This window comes from Homo sapiens, chromosome 8, assembly GCF_000001405.40.
Source record: "Homo sapiens chromosome 8, GRCh38.p14 Primary Assembly".
Classification (NCBI taxonomy): Eukaryota; Metazoa; Chordata; class Mammalia; order Primates; family Hominidae; genus Homo; species Homo sapiens.
The window spans coordinates 16,263,694-16,286,951 of NC_000008.11; the positions used below are offsets into that span (position 1 = coordinate 16,263,694).

The 23,258-nt window shown below is 34.8% G+C and overlaps 1 pseudogene, besides 2 other annotated features; it reads left to right on the forward strand.

The window, feature by feature from the left end:
• CCT3P1 (chaperonin containing TCP1 subunit 3 pseudogene 1) lies at positions 11,984–12,584 on the forward strand (annotated as a pseudogene).
• Positions 19,810–20,752: an enhancer, noted in NCBI's record as "OCT4-NANOG-H3K27ac hESC enhancer chr8:16141012-16141954 (GRCh37/hg19 assembly coordinates)". NCBI's record gives its function as "activates a minimal SCP1, AML or CMV promoter by ChIP-STARR-seq in naive and primed H9 embryonic stem cells {active_cell/tissue: H9 hESC(naive and primed)}" and the evidence as "EXISTENCE:reporter gene assay evidence [ECO:0000049][PMID:30033119]".
• Positions 20,753–21,693: an enhancer, noted in NCBI's record as "OCT4-NANOG-H3K27ac hESC enhancer chr8:16141955-16142895 (GRCh37/hg19 assembly coordinates)". NCBI's record gives its function as "activates a minimal SCP1, AML or CMV promoter by ChIP-STARR-seq in primed H9 embryonic stem cells {active_cell/tissue: H9 hESC(primed)}" and the evidence as "EXISTENCE:reporter gene assay evidence [ECO:0000049][PMID:30033119]".

The following is a 23,258-nucleotide window of genomic DNA, read 5'->3' on the forward strand; positions in this document are numbered from 1 at the left end:
CTTTATAAATGGCACTGTAATAGATGGCTAACCAGTACCTTAACTACGTAACTCCAAATAAAATATATTTTCTAAAATATTATATAATTCTGTCAATTTTACTTTGCAATATTTTTATAAATCTAAGCAATCACTTTTAATAGTTCATTGAATCTTGAATGCTCTAGCCTTTAACCATAGATCTTTTTCTGGGTATTTATTTTTTACATAGCTAAAGCTTCAATTTCAGAAAAACCTATATCAAGGACTGCTACGCAGAAAAAAGAAAAATATCTGTTTATAATTTAAATTTAAATCTATAATGTATTCTCTGTTTAAACACACTACCCACATAGAGTTCTATCTTTTTAATTTGTTTATTTAGTACTGTTTTGCTTTTTCTTAGAAAATTTTATTATTCTATAGTTAAATCTACATGCAAGAATGTCTTTAAAAAAACCATGAGTTAATTCCTCAATATTTTCACATTTTCACAAAAAAAGTATTCACTGAGATGACAAATATTTTGCAGATATTCTAATTACAATGTTGTTTTGTTCAATGATATATTTTAGATTCTTTTTTTTTTTTTTTTGCACAAGATGTTTGGTTTGAATTATGTCTGTAAACCAAAAACTATCTGAGGCAGGCCTCAGTCAATTTAGAAGTTCATTTTGTCAAGGTTAAGGACATTCCTGGAATTAAAAAACACAGATTCACAGAAACAGTCTGTCATCTGTGCCTTTCTGCAAAGATAATTTTCAGAGGTTCAATATTTAAAGGGAAAAAACGGGCTAGAGAGGAAAGCCGGGGCTGGATAGGGTTACACACAAGTTGCAAGAGAAAATGAGCAGGTAAAGGGATAGTCATGTATGCATTCCTCTCCTGCTCAGTACATCTACACTTTACATAAGACACAAGTGAAAACAGAGTGGAGATATTTAATATTTTATCTGTAGCTAACTGCTTAAGGAACAAAAGGAAAGGCAGATTCTTTCATGACTCAGCTTTCAGCTTCATTTTTTCTTTTGGTAAAGTGAATTGGGGTCGTGAGTTTTATTTTCTCTTCACAATACTTGTTTACTGGATTCAAGCAGCTGTGGCTGATATTTGAGTTTTGTCATAAAAGTGAACTCAGTGGTTATACAAATAAATGATGACATTTCTAGAAAACTTTTTAAAAATGGGTGGAATCCAATCCCCCAAGCATGTAAACTAAGCCCTGCTCAGTTTGCGGTTATATCTGGATATGTTTTCCAGGACACATCATCAACTCACTGACTAGGTTCCAGTTCTATTTGGAGTTCTAGTTTTGATAACCATTAAGCTGAAAGGTTTTTTGCTTTTAGTCTTGGAAGATTCCCCTCAAATATTTGCAACTGAGATTTTGTCATGTCTGCAAATCTGACATTCCACGTACTCTAATCCTTTCCTTTTATCTTAGCCCAGAAGCTGGAGTTTTGCTATATATTATACTTAAAATAAAAGAAAAAGTCTCACCCTGATGTTCCCGCTTGCAGCAAATGCATTTTCACATAGCCCTTTGTGGTTCACTATATTCCTGTAAGGATACCTGGTTCTTCATTTTGGGGCTGCTTTCTATTGCTTTTCCTTGATTTGGTGGCACATACCTTTGGAGAACAGGTGACTTTCAGCATTCTGGTCAGAAAGGGAGAATGAGGATTTCAGAATAAGTCTTAATCAGGAATTCATTTCTTCAGTTGTAACCAACTCCAATGGGTTAAGTCATTAATTAATCGAATATGTGCTGTAGCCAGGTCCCAAGTGTCATGTTCTAAGTGTTGTAATAGTTTTTCCTTCGCGAAAAACAATACATCCAATTCTATTCAGGCTCTGCCAGTCTCTAGTGGATAATCCAGATGTAGGGTGTGGTGATTCCCAGACTGGCCTGCTATTATATTTAAAATGACCATCACTGGAGAGGCTTAAACATGACAACAAAAGTGCAAATGCAAGTAAATATGTCTTACTTCAATTAGAATGACATTCTACACTTTTAAAATGCAAAGTCATTTTACTTCAAATTCTGCCAGTAAGATGCAATGATCATGATTAAAGATTAAGACTGGATAAACATACTGTATCTGAATCTTCAGAAGTACATCTACGTGAGCAACAGAGACAAACACTGGAAAGATCTAAGCCTTTTCTAAGGGAGAAGAAACTTTGGCAGTAAGATTTGGGGTACTTACAGCCCCAATAGCAAGACTATCTCTTGTATAGACATAGGGTATAATCCACTTTGACTATGGCCTGTCCTGCTGGTCATGTCATTCTGATTGTTAACTAGGGAATCTGTTTAATGAGATGCCGTTTATCACTTGATCAATTTAATGTCCCTTGTTCTGAATCTGTTTCACCAAGGGATTTCTATAACCTTCTGGTATAGAGAAAATGTACTGCTCATGCTGACTCAATTACTTCGATCTTTGTGATGATTGCATTTGTCATTATGAATTAGTGAAATGGCTTTAGGCTGTTCAACAAATCAACTATGTTAGTCCTAACTATTGCAAATCATTGCATTGCTCTGTGCCTTATTTTCTACTCCTTTAAAAAGGTAACTACTAGTGGTATCTTCTTCCTACAAATGTGGTAAAGATTAAATGAAACCATTTGCTGTCACAAGGTTTTCAAAATTTTGTACTCCAAGACAGAAATAAGCCTTGTTAGTGAAGACTTCTATAAATGTGTATTGCTTAATCCCTCTAGGCATTGGATTCCTGTCTGCAATATTCAGGTATGATCCGTCATGTCTATCAATATTGAATAATAATATTTCAAAGCTTTGCAATTACCATAACAAGAGAAACAAGACTGAATAGATGTTTTTTATAGTCTATACAACACAGTGATAACTCTCTCCAATAATGTTAGTTTACTTCTTTTCCAGTCATTACATTTGATTTTTTTCTTGTTTTACTGCATTTGTGAAGATCTCAGAGACAATGAATAGAAGAAATAAGAACATGCATTCTTGTATTATTCCCATTCTCAGCAGGCAGCTTTCCGTATTTCATTTCAAATGTGTTATCTGCTGATGATTTTTTGTTGATATTATCTACTGTGTTAATAAAGCTATCATTTATTCCCAATTGAACCATGGACCAATTTTTGTTCTTTACAGATTTGGGCCAGATTATATATATACTTTTGTTCTTTACAGATTTGGGACAGTTATAGGAAAATGCCTTTTTACCTAAATAAACTTATATTATCCATTAATAGGAGGTAAACAACATTTTGTTTTACAGCCTTCCTCTATAAGGCATGGAATTAAACTTCTAAATTCACCAAAAAGTCTTGTCCATACCATGGTTGCCTTATAATTACTTTTGCCAAATAGCAAGTGAGCACAGGACACACTTTCAAAATATTTCATTTATGACATCATGCAATGTTTCACACATCAGTACTTTCCTTACAACCTTAGACTTTTCAATAAAATGTTGAGGTATTTTGTGTTTATTAAAAAAAAAGGGATCAAAAATAGTTGTGCCCATTATATCTTCTGAAGATCTTCCCTACCAATAAGGACCCATATCTTCTATAGAGATGATGGTATTGGTATATAGAAAGAACTGAACTGCCGGGCTATTGGCATGCTCAGAGAGTAAGTTTCCCAAAAATAATCAGCTCTGAGGGTAAGACCTGTATATAGGCATCTAAGAAGAATGATCTCTTGCTTTCAGGCACTGGTATTAGTTATTACTTTTATAAATACATTTTAAGTGACTTTTTAAAAAGGAGATAAAAACTGGTGTTATATGTACAGTAAGAGAAATCAAAACGAAGAATCCACCAATTGATAATGTTTTAGCCCTTATTCTTTCCTCCTAACTGAAAGCAATCAATGATATTGAAGAAAATAGTTATTATATTTTCAACAAGAGATGAGATAATTTGATCTAAATGTATTTAGAACGCATAGATTTTATTTTTTGCTTTAATTTGAAAATATCTAAGAACATTTGTAGTCATTGTTAATGATCTGGTTAATTATAGTTTTACTACTTGTATAACTGGTGATTAGAGGAGTCTCAGCTCCTTAGATATAAAAGAAAAGGTTTTATTATTTCTCAGGCACTGCATTTAAATGTACCATGTTGAAACTCACTTTGTTGTTGGGTAGTAGGTCTCTTAACAGCATATAGTTTATAGTTTCAATTTTGTAATTATTCCATAGTTTTATGTTCCTTAGCTTGAATTCTAGAAATCTCATATCATAAGCCTTATTGTTTCCCCTATACAGGCTGGATTTGTGACTCTAGGGGCTTGGAGCTGGAAGCTGGCCATGTTCTCACACTCCTCCTCCTCTAATACACGAGGGACATGGTCCAAGGGAACCAGAACTGAGAATGAGGACTTGACAGAAGGAATATGCTTGTGGCCAAGACACACTTGCTCTATTAGAGAGCTGGAGGGGCAATTATACTGAATCCCAGCTGGAGTTGCCAACTCACCTGGAGACAGGCTTAGGGAGCCAGGAAGGAACCCTACTGTTTGTTATCAAAGGTGGTTGATTTAGAGACCCAGAGGTGGCAGCTGTGTGATTTGGCCTTTTGGTCTTTTTATTCCTTTTCATCTAGGAATAAAAAGTTTGGCAGATACTACTATATATTCCACTTATTTTGTCTTCAGCATATCTTACAAGCTACTAAATTACTCTCTATATAATATGTCTCATGAATCCTTTCCATATTCACATGGCAGTTTATTTACTTACCATCTATACATAATATTTTATTTCATCCTGGTTTGTTTTCCTGTTTTCTGTAGTAGAATTGCATTTTCTCAAATAACATAGAAAACTCATATTAGTGATATGAAGGCAAAAAGGAAGAGGATTGATATAAACTATAACTTAATATTTATCAAGTTCCAAACACTGTTAAAAGGCACATTGTGTCTGCTAGCTCAGTTCTGTCTTGCCAGTAGGGACATAGGGGTATTCCCATTGTAGGGATGAAGCTTAATGATCAGAGAAGGTAGGTAATTTGTTCAATGTCATGCAGCTATGCTGTTGTGGAACCTGGATGAGATCCAAATCTCTCTGCATCATAGTCTCAACAAGCTGCTGCTTGAAACACTACTTACTGGAGAGGAATTTGTGTGTGTCTGTGTTTTGTTTTTGTTTTGCCTAGAATAGCAAACAGTGATTAAGTAAGGGTAAAAACATCTCAGAATAATACAATGTTTCTCTAGGTCCTTCAAAGAACATTTAATGTATAAATGTTTTATTGTATCCCATGAAAAGTAAAATAAACAATTCTCTTTCTCACTCTCTTCATAATGTTATTGTATAATTACATATATTTGGTTAGATTTATTTCTAGATATTTAGATTTTCTGATTACTCTTGTAAGTAGTGCTCCTTGAAAAAATTATATAAATATATAAGACAGATATATTTATTGTAAAAATAAATATGTATAGACATATATATATAACAGCTCTTGGTTTCTGGCATATCCATGATGTTTTTAATGAGAAATTTAAAATATCACTCTCTAATACCCTTTGCCATCTTCTAAGAATTTCTCCTGTAAAATATATTTTGAATTTGAACTCTCCTAATTAGATGTCAAAAGTTTATTCAACGGGTATTTACTACTGAATGTTATATTAAATATTATAAGATGATTACATACATTTAAATTAGAGAACAATTTATTAACTTAGATCTTTTAAGTTAAGACAATATTTAATCAAATGTTTCCCCCATGATTATAATTAACACCATCAAATGCAATAGCAGTTGACAACTGTATGCTGGAATTACAACATTAGCTATCATTTACTATGATGCTCTTCACAATGAAACGTATAACCAGTACTAAATTATTTGACACATTGTTTTCATTATTCTATCAACGTCATATGAAATCTCAACAAAATATATATTTGAATATGCTTAAATTCCAAGGACAAGTAAAATATTGGAAGAGCAATAAAATTTGATTTTATTATACTGGGAATGGAAAATAGGTCAATAAACATTTTTTGCTTCCTTATAAAAAATTACCAATTTATTGCTAGTTATTCTTACTGTTTCCTTTCAACATAGCCTTGCTAGGGAAAGGCAGTGAACTTAACTGCCTGTTATTGGCTCTGGAAATACATAACTTAGTCATTGGGTTGCAGAATGATCCATGTTTTTCCCAAGGCATAACCTATATAACTTGGGAGTGAATGTGTCAGTTTTGGAAGCTCTTTTAACTCATTTAGAAGCCTAGAAATTATGAGTGCACAGTTGCAGAATTTATTAATTGACAATTACATGCTTGAAAAATCAAGCTCAATTATTAGTTTGAAAAACATTTTGAAGCAAGTATATACCTATAATTTAGTGAAAAGTATTTCAGCACCTTTCAAATTTCTCATGTATTTTCTATTATATATAGGCTGACATATCTATAGCTAAACTAAGTTATTAATAACATATAATATAAAATTGATTCTAACACTTCATTTGTATGCAGTTATTTCGGAGGTAGAATAGATTCGAATACCTTAAGTGTACTTTATATTGAGTTTGATTATTTTTATATGCATGGAAGACTCTTGCAGACTTAAATCTATTTTATAACATAATGGTTTAAGGAAAATGAGAATAACACTTGATTAATTGAATGTTCAGCCTAATGATGAAGGGTATTTATAATTTTATAATATCGAGAACACTTCAAATTGTTCATGGTGACCAGAAAGCCTATTCTGTGAAATAATTTAAGTATCCAGGCAATAATATGTTGCCTCCACTTCACAATTATTCAGAGAGAAAGCAAGGAATTTGATAGAATATGTAATCTTATGAATATGTGCCCAGGTCCTACTTTCATAAAGGATTTCTAGCTTCTACAGAATCACAAAGCAGAAATCATTGAAAATTATTTTTTACAACTTCATATGTTCAGTAGTTCTCCTACCTCTTATTTATGAGATAATTAAATCATGTATACTTAAATCATTTTCATAGTTTCAAGTGAATTTCAAAAAAATAAAATGAAACACTTGTGCTTTTGACAAGTGATTGAAAAAGACTCCAATTGCGAAACGTAATTGCATTTGCTGGTTTAACCAAAAGCTATCATGTGTCAGACTGGGTTTTGACATGGTTCAATTATACATGTAAATGAGATATTATAAATGCAACTATTAATATTTGATATTCACATTGCAACAGATGAAACTGGCTTTTGTAAATAAAATAAAAATGTTTTTTTGTGTGTTGGATTCACCCAGAAAACATGGAATCCAATGCATCCTTTATCTTTCAGTCTCCTTCTCTACATTTCCCATGTTTCAGACATCTTCACCATCCCATTATTTACTGTGGAGGCCTTTTACAAGTAAATATACAACCATGTTGGTTATTAGAATTTAATAACTACTGTTTTTACATATTCATATCCTCTTCACAATCTATTGATTACGGACAAACACTATTCCCTTCCTTCTTCAAGGCTTGGTTAGCCTGCTATGATTTAATGTACTCTTAGAAGTCAAAATCTTCTGATTTCAAGATTATTTTCTGTGCTATACGTTTCACCAATCTATATTGGCACTGAAAGACAAGTATATGATTCATCCTCAAAGTGTCTCAACTTAAAGGTCTACTTTGATTGGAAGAAGGGCCAAGGTATTAACCAAAAACAAAAAACAGCAATTTAAATGAATTCATTAGTATAACAATATGTTATTATATTAAACATTAATTGAGGAAGAATTGAATCTGATAAGAAATAAAATAAAAAGCTAAGAGCAAAACATTATTAGTGGAGAAATAGATCTTTCCTCTCTCTCCTCACTTTCCGTGTGTGTGTGTGTGTGTGTGTGTGTGTGTGTGTGTGTGTGTGTGAGATGTAACTACTTGATCTGCTTTCATAGTCTATTAAAACATAATTTACATAAAATTGTCATTGACATCATCTCCCCAATATTTACAACATATAAAACTTCAATTATTACTTATTTTTTTCAACCATCATTGTTTAGAAGGAATCAAAGGAATTGTTAGAGGAGGAAATACACAGATTCTATAGTCTACGAAAGAAACTCCAAGTTTCACCTTTTCTTTCACAGTTGTTGTGATAATTTGCCCTACCAGTTTTCCAAACGATATTAAACTGAGAGAAATTGCTTTCGATGAATGAGATATCACCTTAATTTCCCTAGGTTACACTGTGTGTTTTTTTAAGCCAAGCCACCTGAACTTCACATTTCCCCAACATAATATCTGATCAGCCGCTATGTTATTCTTATGCTTCTCAGAAGAATGTAACTTCATGCAAGAAATCTCTTGTCAAATCTTTTCTTTGAAAATAAAAATGAGTCTAGGTTTTCAAAACTATGTTTCCATTTTTTCCCGTTTATTAAAACCAAGTAAATTAGAAAGATGTTTTAAGGGGGAAGAAAATATTATCTTGCTGCCAAAGAAGTCATGATAAATGGCTTTCAAGTGATTAAATAACTTACCCTCTGAAACTTGAGGAAGGAAGTTATAAACAGATATGAATACATATCCTATGTGTACTCATACCATATATAGTGGCGGAGGGAGTGTGAGTAAGACATTACTTCACAATATTAGTGTGTGGATTAAGGAGTAGATAAGCACATTTTTTGAAAATGAAGAAGGCAATGGAACTTGATGAGACTGTGCATAATATTGATATTTCAATGAATATTATTAATATAATCCACTTAAAATTTCAAAGAATAGTAAACTTACATCTAATTCTGATATATTAACATATTTATAAAGTTTTAAATATTTTACCATAAAAAGTAAAATCATAGAAATGTAATACTACATATAAGGGTGTATATATATATGGATACAATGTATATATTATGTATACACACACATACATATAATGGCCCCCCAATGTAGAAATAATGATGGAAAAATAAATTCCACAATACAAAAATTTAAAACACTATATAGTTTCAAACTTTTTAAACACTATAAAGGCACCTGATATACTATACAAAACATTCTACAAATGAATGTAGAAAAGTGTCTGGAAATTTATGAACCAAATTATTAAAAGTGATTACTCCAAGTGGAGGCATTATAAATAAACTTTCTCTATTTTAAAAAATAATTTAAAAATAAAGTTACATTTACATAAATCTAATTACATTATTAATGTATTTAATTAAATACATAAATAGTACTCATAAACCTGGATATGAAGGTGAACAGACAAGCAATTTGTTACGTGTATCTTGCCTTCAAGAACTTGATAAACAGAGGTGCAAACAAGGCTGATCTTTAAGCATTTCCCTAAGTGTATAGGTCTAGAAAACAATCTGAAAGTCCCTTTTGCTAAAGTTTTATTCATATTAATGAAAGTGTGATTAAAACATAATTATGCATTATTTAACAATGGGGACACATTCTGAGAAATGTGTTGTTAGGCAATGTCATTGTGTGACCATCCTAGAGTGTATTCACACAAACCTAGATGAGATAGCCTACTACACATCTAGGTCATATGGCATAGCCTAGTGCTCCTAGGCTGCAAGTCTGAAGAGCATGTTACCGTCCTGATAAGGTGGACAATTGTAACACAATGGTGTTTGTGTATCTAAACACATTTAAACATAGAAAAGGTACAGTAAAAATATGATATGATAATTTTATGGGGCCACCAACATATAAGGAGTTCGTCATTGACCAAAAAGTCATTATACAATGCATGACTATAAAAATTAAAGAGCATTACAGTTTCTCTCAGATTTTGAGTCCGAATGTAGATCTAAGGTTATTAATATGCACAGAAATGTTCATTTATAACATTGCTCATGCTCTTTGCACAAAAAAAAAGCCACCAATAGTTTTTTTTATGAAGAGTGAGCCTTGGTTAAAAATAAAAGCTCTTTTCATAAGGAGAAAAAGTCAACCAACCTAGAAGTATTTTTGCATCAAATTTTTCTTTTCAAAATCAAAAGAGAAAATTATCATTTCATCCTACTAAATAAAGATCATGTATAGAATATGATGAAATATTTTCCAGTTGTGTTTGAGAACATACACATATTTGAAAACTTATGTTCTAAACAAGAATAGGTGCTGAATAGACTTTCATTTAGTTTTGTTCACTTAAAATATGTTTTCAACTCAATACATTCTTTTTTATTATTTTCATTTTATGAATTAATGAAATAGCCCATCAAAATTTATTTAGTCCACTGCCATCTGTTGGACTTTTGCCTCCCACCGATTCCTATTTAACGTTACCATTAAAATAAAAATCTTTGCACACAGTTTCACAGGAAAAATTCCAAAAAGTGGAATTATTGGCTAAAGGAGAACATAATATTAAGAGTTTTCACACTAGCAACTTTTAGCACTTTTTAAAAAGCAGAAATGAGCACATATCATTGTGGATTGGAATAGATTGTTTATATTTAGATCAAAAACAAGATCCTCTCAGCTTGTTTCTACTCAGAAAATTACAAGATTGAGAAGCTGAATAATGATCAGTGTTATAAAGGACAAGAAGGTGATCATTTGATGAATGCAAGCAAAGAAGCAATTCTAGTCATGGAAGTAAATTGTAGAGCCACATCACAACAGAACAAATTTAATGGAAAAACACAGAAGAAACTATTGTATGTGATGAAGGAGAAAATAGTTATGCAAAGTTATTTGTGACTGATATGAGTGACAGAAAATCTCCAGAAAGATGAAAAATGATCAAGGTGAATAAAGTTCAACAGAAAGAAAATTAACCTGGAATTAAAAATTAGTTTTTTAAAATTCTAGACCTATAATTATTTATTATTATATCAAACTTTTAATTATTGTCAGTTTTTGGCCATGCAGAACTGCTTTAGATACAGGTTGCATTTTCATAATTTTACTGGGACTTTATTTATGGGACTAAGACAAAAATGAATCATTGATTACCACGAAGTTTTCCATTTGCAAAATTTTGTATTTTTCTTGAAAATTTGAAGCCACTGTAAGTCCTGATTATAAAAGAGAACTCTTTTTTTGGGAACTTTTACTTAGTTTTGAGTCCAAATACGTGCTCCTGGAAAAAGAAGGCTTGAATTATCTTCCTTTTAGTCACAAACCCTTTATCTAATATGTTGCTGTTGTCCAGGACTCATTAATTCTATTGTTCCCTTTGTTGTTAGTGCTCATTTCTTTGCTCATTTGAAATTAGAACAGGTTAGAAAGGTTGAAAACTTTTTTTTGAAATGTGTATCCTGAAAATGAACAGCGTATAAGATAAAGCTGAAAGCCTGAGCATTTGATGTATTACATCTCAGTAGTATCTGACAACCCTTACTCCCTGGCGATGCGATTTTTTTCTAATAATTTAGTCTCAGTCTATTAAAAGACGATTACAGATAATGCACACAGGCAAGTGGTGAAGGATGCCCAGAACAGCTTTTGTAGAGAGGTTATCAAAACACCATTCACCAAAAGGATTTTTGCATTGATTTTTAAAAAAATTATTTCAAAAACAGACAGAACTTTAAAAGACTAAATATAACAGAAAGGATTTCCGCTCTGTTACTTTGTATAACACATTTTTTAAAAGCCATAAGGTAAAAGTTTAAGTAGCAATTATTTCCCTTGTTCATTGCAACCAAATTCTTATTTTTTATTACTTTTTTTTTAAATGAATATATTTGAAAACACTGATGTAATTTTATAGTTGTCCTGCTGGTCCTTCACTTTGGATAATCTTATGAATAAGATATGATGCAATGTAAAAGTAAGGGGCACGATCCTAACAATTGCCATCACTGACTGTTTAGACTGTTTTGTCATGACATTCTAAGACAAAATAAAGTCTCTTGAGAAATTGAGTATATTCAGTTGAACTTACTGTTTTATTCACTCATTACGCTCAACTTAGCCCATTGGAAGATTTCAAATACAGTAACCATCACACCAAATGACAGTGATTGTGTATATCATAGGAGAGTTCCTGAAATCCATGTTGATATCTTATTTAATACAGGAACAGGAGTAGGCATGCTGAAAATCAAGAAAATTGGAGATGAGGACTTTGCATTCATCAGTAAATGCAAAGACCCCAAGGTTCGCACCATTCTCCTCCAGGGGAATGGCAAAGAGACTCTCTCTAAAATGGACCACAACATCCAGGATGCTGTGCAAGTTTATTGCAACTTTCTTTTTGACCCGCATTTGGTGCCAGGGGATGGGGCCTCTGAGATGGCTGTGATCCATGTCTTGACAGAAAAATCCAAGGTCATGACTGGTATGAACAATGGCCATACAGGGCTGTTACCCGGGTTGTAGAGGTCATCTCTCTTACCCTAATCCAGAACCGTGGGGCCATTAACATCCATCTGCTTATTATTATAATACCTCCCTTCAGACCAAGCACACCTAGAAGAACCATGAGACCTGGGGTGTAAGTGGTGAGACAAGTATTTTGGTGGAGATGAAGGAACTGGGCATATAGGAGCCATTGGCTGTGAAGCTGCAGACATCAAGGGCAGCAATGGAGACTGTAGTTCTGCTCTTATGGATTGATGTCATTACTACAGGCCACAAAAGGAAGGGCAAGGAGCAGGGCCAGCAAGGCAAGACTACTGGTGCTAGCAAAGAGTGAGTGGTGGGCAAGTTGATTTCAACATACAGAACCAGCAGAGTCTCCCCCTTTCCTGAGCCAAAGTACCAGGGACACTGTACATGTCTTTGCAAGGGATTAGACTGAGAGGTAGCACCCAGTCCCTTCCTGTCCAAACTCAGGTTTCAAAAGACACTGACATGTAATACTTCTCTATTGTAAAATTTCCATTTAATTTGCTTCTGATGATTAAATCTAACTCATTTGGGGGAAAAAAGAGGTATAGGTGCTTGATTTCCATGCTTACTGGGAAATTACATAATATGGAATAACCGCATTTAACATGCCCTGATCTATGTGACAATAGGGTCTATTCATTATTACCTCATTTCCCTTGGCTGCCCAGAAAGTACCACCTGAATCATTGGGGATTTTTTAAAAGGTGAATTTTTTTTTTCTAGAATGAGTTTAAAAATACCAGAGGCCTCTCTTCTTGATTTACTATAGATGGAATTGGGATTATATCTCTATTAGAAACAAACTTCTTGGAATAGTTAGAGTACATAATTTTTAAGGGCAATAAACAGAACATATAATGTCATTGCAGGAGAACTCCAAAAGAATCAGACAGTGTGGTCCTCTGCCAGCCATTAAATCTCTCTAAACACCCATTTTTCTCCTTTTTAAAATGAAGAGGTCAGAGAAGGTCTTTAAGGAACACCTTCTGCACTTCTAACAAACAAGAGAGACATCAAACAACCATACTGTCTGTAAGGATAGTGTTCTAGCCCATTCATGCTGCTATAAGAAAGTATCTGAGACTGGGTAATTTAAAAACAGCAAAAATTTATTGCTCATGTTTCTGAAGGTTGGAAAGTTCAAGATCAAGATGGCAGTGGGTTTGGTGTCTGGTGAGGGTACAGTCTCCGCTTCCAAGAAGGTGTCTTCAACTCTGTGTTCCAGATGGCAGAAGGGCAGAAGAGTGATGAAAAGCTGTTTTGATGTCTAAGGTCACTAATGTCATTCATGTGGGCTCTGATCTTATGACTTAATTATCTCTTAAAGGCTTCACCTCTGAATATTATCATATTGCTGATTAAGTTTCAACATGAATTTTTGGGGAACAGATTCAGACTTCTGCTGAAGTAGCAGACAGCAATAAGAAGAATAAAAGGTAGAAGGTACAACAGTGTAATAGAAGTATATTTGACCATATCATCAACCAGCTCTGTTTCTTTGGATTTAAATTTTGCAGAAGGGAAAACCTTTTTATTTTGCTAGGTATTTCTGATGCATGTGTTATTTTTATTTCATGTGGTTTCTATATATCATAAAACTAAATGTTTTAAACCAAATCTGAAAGCTTAAAATGTTATAATTTAATCTTAGTATATGATTTTCGATGATTTTATGAGATTTGATATAATTGGATATAATAATATATGAGACTGATGATACAATTTGACTTAATTTTTCCTTTTTGCAGTCCTGTTCTAATCATTTTTCTTTGATTGATTTTTCTTTTTTTCTGATTTTTTGCCCTCTAATATTTTGATAATATCTCTATTTTCCCTCATGCTATAATGCTGGTTTCACAGAAGATGAGATTACATACTTTTTGAATATTTTCCTTCCCAGGCATGAAGACATGAAGACATTGATTGACCTTGGTGATTTTCATTTTTACCATTGAGGACTGTAGCTGTTTTTTTCTTATTCTTGTTCTTCTTTTGGTAGGGAGCCCATTTGTTTCTGTTATTTTACTATCTGAAAGTTTTTAGGCTCTTCTTTTCTTTAGAAATTCTTGAGTTTCACTGTAATTTGTCTGCGTTAGCCCTTTTCTATCCATCTGTCTCAGCTCTCAGTATACCCTCTCAACCTGGAGACCATTTCTTCCTCTCAGGTTTCTATCCACACTTTCTTTCTTATGCTCTTATTGTTTTTAAAAATTTGGTTCTATGTTTTAGATAAGTCTCTTAGCTAAATATTTCAGTTCAGAAGTCCTCGTTTAGTAATTTGACCAAAGTATTCTGTTTAACTTTTTAAATTAATGAATGTGAGTAGATCTGATGGTTTGATCTTATCTACATGTACTACTAACTCATTTTCTTCTGGTGCTAATTATTGTTGAGTTTGGTGCTCTTGTCAGAATGCTAGAAATATCTCAAACTGACACCCTAACATCACAATTAAAAGAGCTAGAGAAGCAAGAGCAAACCCATCCAAAAGCTTGCCGAAGACAGAAAATAACTAAGATCGGGGCAGAATTGAAGGAGATAGAGACATGAAAAAAACCTCCAAAAAATCAACGAATCTAGGAGCTGTTTCTTTGAAAAGATTAACAAAATAGACTGCTAGCTAGACTAATAAAGAAGAAAGGAGAGAAGAATAGACACAATAAAAAATGATAAAGGGGACATCACCACTGACCCCACAGAAATACAAACTACCATCAGAAAATACTATAAACTCTTCTACAAAAATAAACTAGAAAATCTAGAAGAAATGGATAAATTCCTGGATATATGCACCCTCCCAAGACTAAACCATGAAGAAGTTGAATCCCTGAATAGACCAATAACAAACAAGTTCTGAAATTGGGGCAATAATTAATAGCTTACCAACCAAAAAAGAAAAAAGCCCAGGACAAGAAGGATTCACAGCTGAATTCTACCAGAGGTACAAAGAGGAGTTGGTACCATTCCTTCTGAAACTATCCCAAGCAAATGAAAAGGAGGGTCTCCTCCCTAACTTATTTTATGAAGCAGCATCATCCTGATACCAAAACCTGGCAGAGACACAACAAAAAAGGACAACTTCAGGCCAATATCCCTGATGAACATCGATGTGAAAATCTTCAATAAAATACTGGCAAAACAAATCCAGCAGCACATCCAAAAATGTATCCACCACGATCAAGTCAGCGTCATCCCTGGGATGCAAGGCTGGTTCAACATAAGCAAATCAATAAACGTAATCCATCACATAAACAGAACCAAAGACAAAAACCACATGATTTTCTCAACAGATGTAGAAAAGGCCTTTGATAAAATTCAACATTTCTACATGTTAAAACTCTCAATAAACTACATATTGATGGAACATAACTCAAAATAATAAGGGCTATTTATGACAAACCCACAGCCAATATCACATTGAATGGGCAAAAGCTGTAAGCATTCCCTCTGAAAACTGGTGAAAGACAAGGATGCCCTCTCTCACCACTCCTATTTAGCATTTCTTTTGATTAAATATTTATTGAGCTTCTATTCACACATGGGAAACTTCATGTTCTTGATTGAGAATGAAACTTCTATTCTCAGAAGGGATGCAGAATGTGCTACTGAACCAAGTCTAACAGTCCTTTAACTTTCCTCCATGTAGAATTTATTTATCCCTTTCCTTCAGGCAATCTCCATCTAGAGTACAAGACATAAAACACTGTGTACCACTCTCGCTTCAGGGTCTAAAGAGAGTGAATTAACCCCAGGGACAGTCATCATCAATGCCAATTACCTCATCCAAGCCGAAGCCAGGAAATAAGGACATGCCCAGTTGCTCTCCGGCCCCTTAAGAGATCACTGAAAGACGCTCTCCTGTTTTGCCCCTACTGACTCCATACTTGGCACACCTCCAGAATTGTTCCACTTCCACCCTAGACGGGTTATATATTTTGCATGGTGTTTTCACCCCACCAATTAGAGTTGTCTTTCCTTTTTTCAAGAATTCAAAATTTATGATCCGTTCATGGGATTCTTTTGCTCTTTAGCCTTGTAAATTTAGAAATATTCCATGAAAATATATTTGCTATTATTTTAAAGACTTTATGAGCAGAAAAGAGGCAGTTCCAAATTCTGTCCTCTGGGACAGAACTGGGATGTGCATTAACTTTCTCACTCAATTTTGATCCACCACAGTATAGTTTCTTCTACGTCTTTCCACATTGTCCCCAAATGGCTGCCTCACTCATCATCAATGGTCATCACCAAGCTCCACACCCTATGAGCCTTGGTGTGTTTGTGTGGGATGAAAATGAAGTTTACATTTGAAATAATGACAGAGCAAAAGGGATTTCAGAAAGTAGCAATATCTTCTAGTTTGTTGCATCAATAACAATTGCTTTGGATTTTTTTTTCTTTACTACATTTTATTTATAATGTTGGATAAGTATAAAACACTACATATAACATACATGTGAATCATTAAACATGATAATATAATGTATACCCATAAAACCAATATGTAGCCCAAGGAGTAAAACTTTAACAGTACCCTAGATTGGTATGCTTTTTCCCACTTCCAATTTTGTTTATAAATTTGTCGTATCTACTTTTAAACTTATTCACTTATGTATGTAACTCTAAACATCAAATATTTAACCTATGCTTATTTTTGAGCTTTAAAATGTATTATACTGCAATTTGTCTTCTGCATCTGGCTTTTATCACATTATGCCACGTGTCTAAGATTTATTCATGATACTACATACAGTTCATATTTGCTTATGTTCCATATTCTATTTCATAAATATGCAACTGTTAATTTTCCTGTATAAAGGGTACTCAGTTATTATTGGGTATCTATCTTAATGCCCTGTACTACTTTGAGCATTCTTATATACATGCCCTGGTGCATATAAGCAACAGATTCTCAAGGATATATCATAAGAGAGGAATTGTTAGATGTTGGAGTACATTAACTGTAACAGGGGATATCAGTATAAGAGATAAGAGAACACAAAAGTTCAAAGATTAAAGAGGTGTTTTTTTCTTAAGGATTATTGAGAGCACATATTTAGTGGGCAAATGGATCTGATTCATGTGGTGATTCAAGAATCCAGCCTTCTTCTGTTGTGTGGCTCTTCCAACTACTAATGTCTTACTGTGATCTACATGCATTTTCAGAAGGAGAAAGTCTGTGTAGAGATACGCTTTTGCTTCAAAAGCCACAACCAGATTAGCACACATCACTTATAGTCACATTACCTTGTCTAGGTGCAAATACATTGTCAAAATTAAGCATTAAGCTCAAGGGAGGCTTGGAAAGGCAGTCTATCTGCATGTTCATGAAAAAGAGGATGGATTTTGTGGTCAGCCATCAGTGTTTGCCACCCTCTGCCCCTGGCCATCAAATGACTGTCTGCATTTTTCCCAATTTTGGAGTATACTCCCTTCCTCTGTGAAGAAGCTGATGTCTAATACAGACATTGTATTCAGCTCAAATTTACAACCTCTGGGTGGGGTTCAGCCTTCTACATCAGGTCTGCAAGTGAATCTCTACGGTCCAGAAACCTAATGAATGAAATATCAGATTCTACCAATGTAAATGGTGACAAAGAACAAGATAGCAATGACAGCAACAAAGTATTTCGATTAGTAAAGGGAAAATAGGAATTACTCAGTAGAAATTGAAGCATAACAATAATGCAATACTGTTGGACAGGAATGGGAAGACATTCTTCCCTGTTAATGGAGAAAATACTTTGAACAGTGGAAATATATAATCTCTTGCTTTTTTTGGCTTTGACTTTGCCTTCTGAAATGTTCTTCCTTGGTCATAATCCTCTATCACCACTGTGAACATAGGAAAGTATGCCCTTCTTGGAGAATGAGAATCTTTTGCAGCCTAATGTATGTGTGACCATCTGATGAGTTCTTCCTACCCACAGTACAAACAACATCAAATCATGGGAACAGTGGCATTGCAGTAAAAAAAGAGTTTAATTCATGCAAGTCTGGTTACGCCTTGAGGGAGATGCAATTATTACTGAAATCAATCTCTCTGAGCATTTGGGGGCTAGGATTTTTCAAAAGTAGTTTGGGTGAAGGGTTGGGGGTGGCTAGGCAATGGGTGCTCACTGTTGACTTGCTGAGGGTGAAATCATAGGGGTGTGGGAAATGGTCCTCCTTCATGCTGAGACACTTCCGGGTGAGGCCATAGGAGCCATAGGTGGGTCCTGTGCCACTAACCTTTGCCACCCTCTGCCCCGGCCATCAAAGGACCATCTGCATTTTTCCCACCTTTAAAGGATACTCCCTTCCTCTGTGATGCCACTCTGTATGCCAAAAGGAAAAGTCAAGCTTGAGAATCGAGTCACACAAAACCACTTCCCATTTTGTTCCTAAATAGATAGCTACAAAGATAAGAGTTTACATACCCCCCTCACAATTTGCTCACCAGGGAATTCCCTGTGGGCCACAGATGGGTCCAGGTGGAGCCATCAGTCATCAGAAATGGAAAATTGCTGAAAAGGTGTCTCCAAATGCCAATCTTAGGTTCTACAATAGTTATGTTGTCTGCAGGAGCAATTGGAGAAACTGCATATCTTGTGACCTCTGGAATAACGGCTGGAATTACATCTAACCTCTGGAATTAAGTTGACACCTTAGTAGAATTCAGGCTCCTCTATCCCCATAGCCTCGTGATTTTTCATGAGCTTTACAAAGGCATCTGAGTCTGGGAGAAGGGCTTTTATCATTTAAACTATAAAATAAATGTCTCTGAAAGTTATCTTGGCCTAAGCCCAAGAACAACTAAGGGCAGCTTGAAGACCAAAGGCAGAATGGGGGTTGGTCAGATCAGATCTCCCCCACTGCTATAATTTTCTCACTGTTACAATTTTTGCAAAGGTGGTTTCACACATTTGGGGTCTGAAGAGTCATAATAATTGTTGATTAATCGCAGACTTTTCAGGCCAAACTTGAGGTTTGATCAGTAATATAATTCTCTCAAACATACAGATTCCTGGAAAATTTCATTATAGTCACATATGTGGGTTAATAATCATATCAAAATATTTTCTGGATATTGTACTTATTCCTGCTGTATTTATTTACTTTTTTTCAGTGCTCTCTCTCTCTCATCTCTCTGTCTCACTCTCTCTCTCTCTCACACACACACACACACACACACACACACACACACACGATGGTGTATCTCTTGAGGCTATCTGAAACACTTGCCCTAGTAGGAAATGTACTTGCAGACCGCTTCCCAACCTTTAATGTCTTGAATTTATAAATTCTTTCTATCACCTGTAAAACATCCAGTTTTTCCAGAGCTCATCTCTATGTTTGTAGTACTTTGCTGTAAGCCTTAAGAAACACCACTGATACATATTGACATTCTGGATCTATACAAATGTTTCCCCTAGAATTGCAAGCTTAGTAGGCACATGGCTTGATTTTCAAGTTTTCAAAGGTGACAGTTTGGCAAGTATTTTCTCTGACACAAGAAAGGTATATAGCAATACAACCTGCAATACCTGCCATATCTATGTACTTGCTGTAAGCTGCCTAACTATTAAGACTTTTCAGGATATTTTGAGTTATATAGCAAGCCATTTTCTACAGCAACTGTTATATTGGTTACAACAGATTAAACTTATAAATAACCCACAGGTTGATTCAAGTTGGAATAGCAGGGACTCGATTTATACTCTCATGTGACCTAATAACAAAAAGACAAAAATATATGAAACACTGGCATTGAAGACACTGGTCATTCAACAACAACAAAAAACAGGGATTCCTGAGGTACACAAAATAATGTCATAACACCTATGCATGCCCATCTTATTTGCTGGAGGGGCTGTCCAGATCATGGCTTATGGAGAGGAAACCCAGGCAGAACTTGGTGGAGGTAAAATCAGGAATCTGAAGAAGCCAAATTCTCTATTATACACTCGGTAGAACACTGGAGAGAAAAAACCCACACAGAAAGAGAACTCCTTAGATGTGCAGACTCCCCTTCAGGGATTCAATTAAGTACTTGTGAAAAAAAAAAAAATCTCAGGACCCCAAACTCACTATGCGGAAGAGAAAAGTCAAGCTTAAGAACGGAGTCACAGAAAACCACTTCCCATTTTGTTCCTAAATAGATAGCTAAAGACACAAGTTTACATACCTCCCTCACAATTTGTGCACTAGGAAATTCCCTGTGGTCCCCAAGACATTTACCCTAAAACAATTCTGTTGAATTTCATCCTGACAATGTAAATTAACAGCTTATCTTCACAGGTATAGGACAAAGGACAGAATTCAAAATCATCCCTCTGCTCACCTGACACAACTACATATTTGTCTGCTTTCTCTAATCTGTGTTTAGCTTACGTAAAAATGCAGATTCACTGAGCATGAGAGGCATGCATAATTGACTGACCCCCTCCTTTCAAATGTAAAATGTCGATTCAGAAAACGCTGATCAAAGACTCAAAAGAATGCAGCTATGCAACCTCTTGCCCCTTTTATCTATCTTCCCTCTCCTTTTTTTCTTCTTTCCCTTTCCTCTTTCCCCGACTGCCCACCCTTTCCCCTTTAAATAGAGAAGACCCCAGGCTGCCTTTGGAAAAGCTTAGATCACACACGTTCCTGTGGTTTTGTGTTCCTTTTTCCCAGTTTAAAAGGAAAACTTCAGACAATTTAAATTTAACGGAGTTTAATTACACAAGGAAAAAAAAATTCATGAATTGGGCAGCACCCAGGATCACATCAGATTCAGATGGACTCCAGGGATGCCTCATGGTCAGAAAAAAATTATAAACAAATAAAGGAAAGTGGTGTACAGAAATCGGAAGTGAGGTACAGAAACAGCTGGATTGGTTACAGCTTGGCATTTGCCTCATTTGAACACAGTTTGAACACTCAGCAGTGTATAGGTGGCTGAAGTATGGCTGCTGGGATTGGCTAGGACTCAGCTATTGTTATGTGCACGTACTCTTGTTAGGTTTTCACTCTAGTCTACCTATTATGTTAGGTTACGGTTTGTCCAAAAGGACTGAACTATAAAATTACAGAGTCATTCTCTGGCCATATTTGGTCCTCTTTAATACCAGGCAGGTCCTCGACTTTGGGAAAATTAAACTCTAAAATTCCTGAGACTTACCTCAGTCATTTTCTTTGATTTACATTGTGTTGTATCAAAAGATGCATTTGAGGAAGGAATTTGAGGCTGAGGAAGAAACCTATTCAAAATGTAACCAGTGGGTTCTCTTTGTCCACTGCCTAGACAGAGCCAATTTATCAAGACAGGGAAATTGCAATAGAGAAAGAGTAATTCATGCAGAGTCAACTGTATGGGAGATAGAGTTTTATTATTACCCCAATCAGTCTCCCCGAGAATTCAGGGATTTTTTTTTCTTAAGATAATTTGGTGGATAGGGGCCAGTGAGTCAGGAGTGTTGATTGGTTGGGTCAGAGATGAAATCATAGAAAGTTGAAGCTGTCCTTTTGCACTGAGTTGTTTCCTTGGTTGGGGCCACAAAACCAGATGAGCCAGTTATCTATCTGGGTGGTGCAAGCTGATGCATCAAGTACAGGTTCTGCAAAATACCTCAAGCACTCGTAGTCAGTTTTATAATAGAGAAGTTATTCCCAGGAGCAATTTGAGGAGGTTCAGAATCTTAAAGCCTCTAGCTGTATGACTCTTAAACCATAAATTCTAATTTTGTAGCTAATTTATTTGTCCTGCAAAGACAGTATAGTCCCCAGATAGGAAGAAGGTTTGTTTTGGGAAAGGGCTGTTATCCCATCTTTGTTTCAAAGTTAAACTATAAACTAAGTTCCTCCTAAAGTTAGTTTGGTCTATACCCAGGAACGAACAAGAACAGCTTGGAGGTTAGAAGCAATATGGATTTGGTTGGGTCAGAACTCTCACTGCAATAATTTTCTTAATTATGATTTTTGCAAGGGTGGTTTCAAAAAGATTAAAGAGAATGGCGCTCACAGATCACATAGGGTCAGGGATAATGCTCATTTCAAGGCAGAGTAGAAAGCCTTGTAATTAATGGGGAATCAGATAGAGTATTAGGAAGGGTCTTACCTTTAATAAAAATTAAAATTTAGCCCTAGAGTAAATACAGTGCAGATCTTCCCTAACAAAGCTTACAAGCAAGACATGAAAGTAGCAAACTATATTCAAGTAATTTAATTATGTCTCACAGAAAAGCTCAAACATATTTTTAGGAAAACAAAAATATTCAGCACCATCACATGTTGTGGGAGGGACCCAGTGGGAAGTAACTGAATCATGGAGGTGATTACCTCCATGCTGTTCTCATGATTGTGAATGAATTCTCACAAGATCTGATGGTTTTATAAGGGAGTTTTCCTCTTTTGCTTGGCACTTCTCCTTCCTGCTGTCATGTGAAGAAGGACGTGTTTGCTTCCCGTTCCGCCATGATTCCTGAGACCTCCCGAGCCATGTGGAACTGTAAGTCAATTAAATCTCTTTCCTTTATAAATTACCCAGTCTCAGGCAGATCTTTCTAGCAGCCTAAGAATGCACTACTATAACAACCAAGACAAGATACCAGTGATCATGGTCTTTTTCTACACAGTAGTAATTTTCATATACATTATATGTTCTATTATTTCGTTTTAGTTTCCTATGTTTGCAGAAAAAGTAAGGGCATAATAACAATGGTGTTCTGATTATTCTATTCATGAAGTTAACATTGCTGGAAAACTAAAAAAAATCTAGATAGAGGCAAATATCTTCAATATTATACCACATTAACTTCCACTGAAGAAAAGTTTTCAGGAAATCATAGTGAAACTAAATATTATTAAGGTTTAGAAGGATATTAAATAAATAAAAGATTGGCTTCCTGGACAATGGGACAGTCTACATTATATCATTTGCTATTTAAGTTCTAAATAAATTAAAAACTCTTTTCTCCATAATATCATGAGT